Here is an 8,090-nt window from a genome sequence, read left to right on the forward strand (position 1 = left end):
TTTTGTTGTTGTTTGTTTGTTTGTTTGTTTTTAAGACAGGGTCTTGCTCTGTCAATCAGGCTGGAGTGCAGTGGTGTGATCTTGGCTCACTGCAACCTCTGTCTCCCGGGCGAAAGCAATCCTCTCACCTCAGCCTCCCAAGTAGCTGGGACCACAAATGTGTGCCATCAAGCATGGCTAAGTTTTTGTATTTTTTTAGAGATGAGGTCTCTCCATGTTGCCCAGGCTTGTCTCGGACTCCTGGGCTTAAATGATCCACCCACCACAGCTTCTCAAATTGCTGGGATTACAGGCCTGAGCCACTGCGCCTGGCTTCCTTGTCATTGTTTTTTATCCTTTCCAACTTTTTTTTTAATTGCTAACTGGACAGACCCTGACACATTTCTGGTAATGCTTGTGATTTGAGCAGTTTTCTGTCATTTTTATTGACTTTGTGAAATCCTCCAATTTTGAGAAGTTTGCTAGTTCGCTTTGTAGTGGAGTTTCATTGAACTTATATTGTGTTTTTAATGACAATCTGCAAGACACTGACACAGACATTAACATAATGGGCAGAAATAGATGGTACTGTCAAGCAGAGAAGGATATTCAAGGAGGTACTGACTTTTTAAAGAGCACTTTTGTAAGAGAATATTTTATGTTGTAATTCCACAAATAACCATATAACCTCCACATGAGGTTATATAGTTGATAAACACTTGAATTATGAAGATACTCTAGTATGTAAGAATTTAGTATATGATAAAGGTGGCTTTTAAAATTAGTGAGAAAAGTGAATCATTCAATAAAAGTGAAAAAAAATTAAGAGGAAAGTTAGAGCCCTAATGTTACTAGTGCCAGGGCCTATGGCTTCGGCAACTGTGTTTCCTTAGAAGAGGCACAGGCTCTTTGGCTTGTAATAACTTAGAAGATCTTAATGAATTGAAACTTCCACATGGACAGTCACTCAATTTCCTCATACAAACTTGACTGACAGAGGATATCCTTCACAAAGATTTCCTATGTCCCAATAATATAACAAACGTTTAGTTGTGTTCTTGAAATTCAGGCTCTTCTCCTTACCAGGCTTCTGTCCTTACAGGACAAAAGGACAAAAGGACGATGGTTTCCTGATGCTTATTTTATTCAGGATTCTCATTTTGTTTGACAATCACCATTGGGCTCTTCTACACCGCTACCAGCATTTGATTAACAGAACCCTAGTAACATATCAGTGAAACAGGGATCCTATTAGAGGAACATGTAAGTAGCAGAACTATTCTGGAACACAGCTTCCCAACTGATGTGCCATGAATGCGTTAGATTTGCCCAAATATTAGCTTTAGAGTGGTGGCAGAACTTGGGATAGTGGAGCTCAAGGCCTAGTTGCCTCCAGCAGGTTGTAAGCAGCTTCCTTTATTGAACCAATGCACGGTACAATTATTATCCTTTTCTTTTTTTTTTTCTTTTGAGACGGAGTCTCGCTCTATCACCCAGGCTGGAGTGCAGTGGCGCTATCTTGGCTCACTGCAAACTCCGCTTCCCGGGTTCACGCCATTCTCTTGCCTCAGCCTCCTGAGTAGCTGGGACTACAGGCGCCCGCCACCGCGCCCGGCTAATTTTTTGTATTTTCAGTAGAGACGAGGTTTCACCGTGTTAGCCAGGATGGTCTCGATCTCCTGACCTCGTGATCCACCCGCCTCGGCCTCCCAAAGTGCTGGGATTACAGGCTTGAGCCACCGCGCCCAGCCAATTACTATGCTTTTCTTTGAGTGCCATTAAAGTTTGAAACAAGGTGGGGAAGCACTGTTCTAATCAATTAGCTGGGAACAAGGAGAACATGAATAATATCACTAGGCAAACACAGTCATTTGGTTTAGGGAAGAGTATCACAGATTTCAGCAGAGAATGAATGAGGAAGCGGATTAGATTTTTTTCTGACTCTAAATCACTTCAATTCTATTTTCATATTAGACTTTATATCATTAATATGATATGTATATTAGTATCAAACTTCTGCAAATTTTACTTGTTAATACTCCTCTACATATACCCAGATAAGTTCCAGGAGGAATAAAGACTTGAGAAATAGTCATAAAATAAGCAAAAGAAAAATTAGAGGAAAACATTTGATATAGGTCTAAGCACAGAGATCAAGAAATGATAAAGAAAAATGTTACATGTTTGGTTGTACTAAAAGTTGTCTCCCATTCTGCAGGTTGTCTGTTCATGCTGACAATAGTTTCTTTTGCTGTTCAGAAGCTCTTAGTTTAATTAGATCCCACTTGTCAATTTTCGCTTTTGTTGCAATTGCTTTTGACATTTTCATCATGAAATCTTTGCTCTTGCCTGTGTCCTGAATGACATTGCCTAGATTTTCTTCTAGGGTTTTTATAGTTTTGGGTTTTACATTTAAGTCTTTAATCCATCTTTACTTAATTTTTGTATAAGGCATAAGGAAGAGATCCAGTTTCAATTTTCCGCATATGGCTAGCCAGTTTCCCCAGCACCATTTATTAAATAGAGAATCCTTTCTCCATTGCTTGTTTTTGTCAGGTTTGTCAACAATATTTTTACCTAATGCTGAATAATGATTGAAATTTTATTTTATTATTTTTTTGAGACGGAGTCTCGTTCCGTGGCCCAGGCTGAAGTGCAGTGGCACAATCTCGGCTCACTGCAAGCTCCGCCTCCCGGGTTCACGCTGTTCTTCTGCCTCAGCCTTCCAAGTAGCTGGGACTACTGGCGCCCGCCACCATCCCCGACTAATTTTTTGTGTTTTTAGTAGAGACGGGGTTTCACCATGTTAGCCAGGATGGTCTCGATCTCCTGACTTCATGATCTACCCACCTTGGCCTCCCAAAGTGCTGGGATTACAGGCTTGAGCTACCGCGCCCAGCCGATTGCAAAAATATTCTTTAAAAATATTTTAACATAGACCAATATTTCAACAGAAAAGTAGTCAAATGACATCAGGAGATGATCCACAAATGAACAACTGCAAATGGCCAATAAATACATGAAATATTCAGCCACAGAAATAAAGGCAAATTAATGAGCAATTGAGAAGGAAACTGGATAAATTTGACTTCAGTTTAGGGAAAATAGGCCCTTTACATAACGGTTGGTTGTTGCGTAACGTGATGAGCATTTCTGAAGGTCAATTTGGCAATATGTAACACAAAAATATTTTAACGTTCATACCCTTTGACCTTATGTTTTAATTTTTAGGAGTCTATTCTGAAGAAATTACCAGAGATAACATGAAGATAAATGAAAATGATGTTCATCACAACTTTATTTATATTGTGACTAAAAATTAAAAGCAACTAAATCTACAGATGTGGTAATAAGTAAATAACAGATTATCATATGGAATTCTGGAAAATCATCAAAATAGTGCCTTTGAGGATTATTTAAGATGTGGAAAATACTGTCTATGAACTGCTTAAGTTACATATATATTATATCATTCATATATATATATATATATATATCTTTTTTTTTTTTTTAAATAGAGACAAGGTCTCATTTGGTCACCCAGGCTGGAGTACAGTGGCTCCATCGTAGCTCACTGTAGCCTCAAATTCCAGAGCTCAAACAGCCTCCCAAGTAGCTAGGACTACAGGCATGCCCACCATGCCAAGCTAATTAAAATTTTTTTTTGTAGACACAGGGTCTTGCCGTATTGCTTAGGATGGTCTGAATTCCTGGCCTCAAGCTACCCTCCCACCTCAGCCTCCCAAAGCATTGAGATTTCAGGTGTAAGCCACTGCACCTAGCCTCAAATATATTTCATATAAGACACTGTCAATTGTAAGAGGCACCAGTATTTTCTCTGGACCTTAAGAAAGAAAACAACAAAAAAAATGACATTCAAGGTATAGATTGTAATAGAAGACCCTAGCATAAAGTTAGGGTCAGGGTAATGAGAAGTAGACCTGTCTCTAGAAGGGAACTGTAAAGAAACCAATCAGTCCTTGTTCAGATTGTGGTTTCAACTCCTACTACCAGCATCATCTAAAAAGCTTAAGCAAAAAGAAAATTTAAAGTGCTCACAGGAGCAAGCTGTGGTTGCACCATCCACTGCACTCCAGCCTGGGTGACAGAGAGAGAACTTGTCTCAAAAAAAAAAAAAAAAAAAAAAAGAGTAGGTTTTGGGTATATTAAGTTTGAGATATCTGTTAGACATCCAAGAGGAGATGTAGAGCAGAAAGTCGTTGCTCAAGGGATGAGACAAGGATAGAGTTATACACTTGGGAATCACTGTATACAGATGGAACTTAAAGCCACATAACTGGATGAGATGAACCAATGAAATGAGCGCAGACAAGGCAGAAGAGAGTATTGGGTATTTCAACATTTCAAGATGGAGGAAGGAGCAGGAGCCAGCAAATGAGACTAAGTTGAAGGAGCTAATGAGGTAGAAGGATAAAGAAACGTTTTCAGAGGGAAATAGTGTTCAATGGTGTTGAAAACTTCTGAGGCATCAGGAAAGATGGTTTCAGTAGGTAGTTAGTAGGTATGAGCAGGACAGGAGAGGGTTCTCCCCGCCACATACACCAGGAGTGTTGGGTGACCATTAGATGATGGTCAGGTGGTTGTTAACTATTTCTCAAAGGAATAATTGCTAAAGTAATAAGTAATGACTGCCAGAGAAAGGCAGTTTTCTAATAGAAAACACCTGAGGCCAGGCGCAATAGATAGAAAACACCTGAGGCTAGGCGCGGTGGCTCACGCCTATAATCCCAGCACTTTGAGAAGCCAAGGTGGGCGGATCACCTGAGGTCAGGAGTTTGAGACCAGCCTGGCCAATATGGTGAAACCCCATCTCCACTAAGAAATAAAAAATTAGCTGGGCATGATGGCACACATCTTTAATCTCAGCTACTTGGGAGGCTGAGGCAGGAGAATCACTTGAATCCGGGAGGTGGAGGTTGCAGTGAGCTGAGATAGTACCACTGCACTCCAGCCTGGAAAACAAAATGAGACTCCGTCTCAAAAAAAAAAAAAAAAAAAAAAGCAAAAAGCAAAACACCTGAAACTGATCAGCAGCTTCCCACCAAGATCTCAGGAGTGAGGAGAAGTAACACAAGATTCTGGAAGTATGCCAACATTTAAAACCCCAAGTCAAGAGGTCAAGCTGTGTACTTGGTATCTCAAGTTGCCTGCTTGGCCTTCTTCCAAATGTACGTCCCTTCCTTCATTTCTATCATTTCCTTACTGTTCTAAAGCTTTTTAATAAACTTTCACTCCTGCTGTAAAAAAAATAAAAAAAACTTAAAAAAAAAAATAAAGTGCTCACAGTTCGTAGTTCCCTCCAGGAAGAAGAAAACATCCATCCCCCTGGCAGAAATGAACCTTAATGCAGGTAGGCAGCAATTTTCTTATTTGTAATTTTGACAACAATTTTAAGATATCATTGATTCTGAAATGTATTATTTCTATATTAGTTGTTAAAAGGTGAAAAATTGTATGTTTAAAATAATTTGAGTGTATTCTCTACACACAATTGGAAGGAAATGCTCAAAAATTTAGCAATGGAGACCAGTCTGTTGGATTACATACCTATTTTACAAAATTCACCATGAATATTTATTACACATATTTAAATGTTTACCTTAATTGAGATTCTCATAATTGTCTTCATTCTGTTTATAAAATTTAATCTCCTGTGCTAATATATTTCGAATTACTGCCAACCTTTGGCAATAAATCTCAGACAATGAGAATTTTTATAACTTCAGCACTTTGGAAAAGGGCTATGTTTATTTTGCCTGGCATGAGTTGTTATTGTTAGCAGGTATAGGAAAGGACTTCTGAAACACACCCAATCCTTCCATTGAGAGACAGGGTGGCAGGCGGGGAAGGGAAAATAGGGATAAGTGGTTACGAGCATTGTCTCTGGAATCAGAACCATGCTTAGATTTCAGCTTTGACACATACTGATGGTAGTGTGGACTTAGGCAAGTTATTTAAATAGCTTGTTTCTTCATTTTTAAAACAGTAATAATTGTGTTATCAAGAGAACTCAATGAAATAATGTAAAATGACTGCCATGTAATATCACTGTTACTATTTCTTAACTGGTCTGTGAGAGCAACAACTTGATAATATGACTTATTTTTAACATCTCTTTGCTGTTCTTCATTGTGATCCCCCTTAATGATGCTCACACATAAGACTTGTGAAAATGTATTATCTCTTCAGTGCTTCCTTTTGAAATGACATATTCCCTATTCCAGCAAATAGAAAAAAGGAGTGCACTCCTGACTAGCATAATCTTGATGCAAATACAAGACAAAAAGGGAAAATTCACAGGCCAATCTCACTGAATAGAGAAAATAGCAAAAATCCCAAACAAACCAAATTGGTCAGCAAACCAAATTCAGCAACATAGAGTGAGAATTACACATCATGGCCAAGTTGGATTTATTCCAGGAATGCAGTTTGACATTAGAAAATCAGGCTGGGCGCAGTGGCTCACACTTGTAATCCTAGCACTTTGGGAAGCCAAGGCAGACGGATCACCTGAGGTCAGGAGTTCGAGGCCAGCCTGGCCAACATGGTGAAACCCCATCTCTACTAAAAATACAAAAAAATTAGCTAGGTGTGGTGGTGAGTGCCTGTAATCCCAGCTACTCGGGAGGCTGAGGCAAGAGAATCTCTTGAAACCAAGAGGTGAAGGTTGCAGTGAGCTGAGATCATGCAACCTGGGTGACAGAGCAAGACTCCATCTCAAAAAAAAAAAAAAAAAAAAAGAAAAAGAAAAAAAGAAACAGTATAATTTGTCACATTAACAAATGAAATAAATAATATGATCATCTCAAATAGATATAGTAAAAGCATCTGATAAAATTCAACATTCGTACATCTTTTTGTAAAAAGTAATTCTTAGCAAACTGGTAGTAGAAGGGAACTTCCTAAATCTGATAAAAGATATTTACCAAAAACCCACAGCAAACATCACATTAATGGTGAATTTTCTGGTATATCCCTTTTGAGTGCAGTTTTGAATGCCCAGAAGTTTTGATGTTTTCCTTTATTTCTGAAACTTGTTGCTTTTCATTAACTGTTTTTGCTCTTTTGAAACTACTGTATCCTTTTCATTTGCTTTGAAATAGTATACCTTGCCTTTCATCTTTGCTAAATGATTCATCTTATTGTTTTCCTCAACTATTGTGTTCATAATGTCTTTCTTTTATGCTCGGTGCTTCTGCTTCAAAAAGGCAAAAATCAAAATGTAACTTTTTTCTCAATGTGAGTAACATTGAGATCCGATACCACGTATGGCAGTGTTGAAGAATTATTATCACTGGAACTAGGGTAGTGTCACTCATTACAGAGATGTCAATCTGACTGCAATGGACCAGTTTGTGCATTCCAATAGAAGACATTAAATCTTGAAACTGACTGTCTACAATCAGTCCTGTGTTATTAAAATGTTTCTTAACGTCCCTCTAAACATATAAGCTAGTATAATCTTTGTTTAACCATAGGAGTCTTAAAAATTAATTCATGTGATTACATCTTGTAACAATATGGCTCGGTTGTACGGCGGACATCCCTAGAAAATAATAGGGAGCAATATAAACAAGAGAGAAGTAGACAGCAAGAGCGATTATTTGTATAAGCCGCCATGTGGGTTGTTGAATCCCGTTTGCAGACTCAAAGAACTAGCCATGAGCCTTGTTCATTGGCCACTTACTCTGTTATTTATTTATTATTATGAATTCTACATTGTTTCATTTAATATTAGCCACATTTTAATACATAACATTGAAATAAAAGCACATTTTCAAAAATTACATTTATTATATCTAAATAAAACTCTAATTGTATAAAAATTTATCATTTTCGTGTTCTACTCTGCTTTAATAACATTTATTTACATTTATTATATCTAAAACTCTAATTGTATAAAAATTTATCATTTTCGTGTTCTACTCTGCTTTAATAACATGGAAAAATCAAAATTGCTTTTCTTGGTGTTCCCCAAGGACAGCACAATGTATTTAAAACACAACTTAGCTGTAAAACAGAACCTTTTCATATATAGATATTGGTTGAAGAAATATTCTCTGTGTAATTAAAATGTTTAGAGAAGCCAT

General features: G+C 37.7%; 2 annotated features.

The window, feature by feature from the left end:
- Positions 1,066-1,567: an enhancer, noted in NCBI's record as "H3K4me1 hESC enhancer chr12:65655701-65656202 (GRCh37/hg19 assembly coordinates)". NCBI's record gives its function as "activates a minimal SCP1, AML or CMV promoter by ChIP-STARR-seq in primed H9 embryonic stem cells {active_cell/tissue: H9 hESC(primed)}" and the evidence as "EXISTENCE:reporter gene assay evidence [ECO:0000049][PMID:30033119]".
- Positions 1,568-2,067: an enhancer, noted in NCBI's record as "H3K4me1 hESC enhancer chr12:65656203-65656702 (GRCh37/hg19 assembly coordinates)". NCBI's record gives its function as "activates a minimal SCP1, AML or CMV promoter by ChIP-STARR-seq in primed H9 embryonic stem cells {active_cell/tissue: H9 hESC(primed)}" and the evidence as "EXISTENCE:reporter gene assay evidence [ECO:0000049][PMID:30033119]".

Source organism: Homo sapiens, chromosome 12, assembly GCF_000001405.40.
Source record: "Homo sapiens chromosome 12, GRCh38.p14 Primary Assembly".
In the NCBI taxonomy this organism is placed as follows: Eukaryota; Metazoa; Chordata; class Mammalia; order Primates; family Hominidae; genus Homo; species Homo sapiens.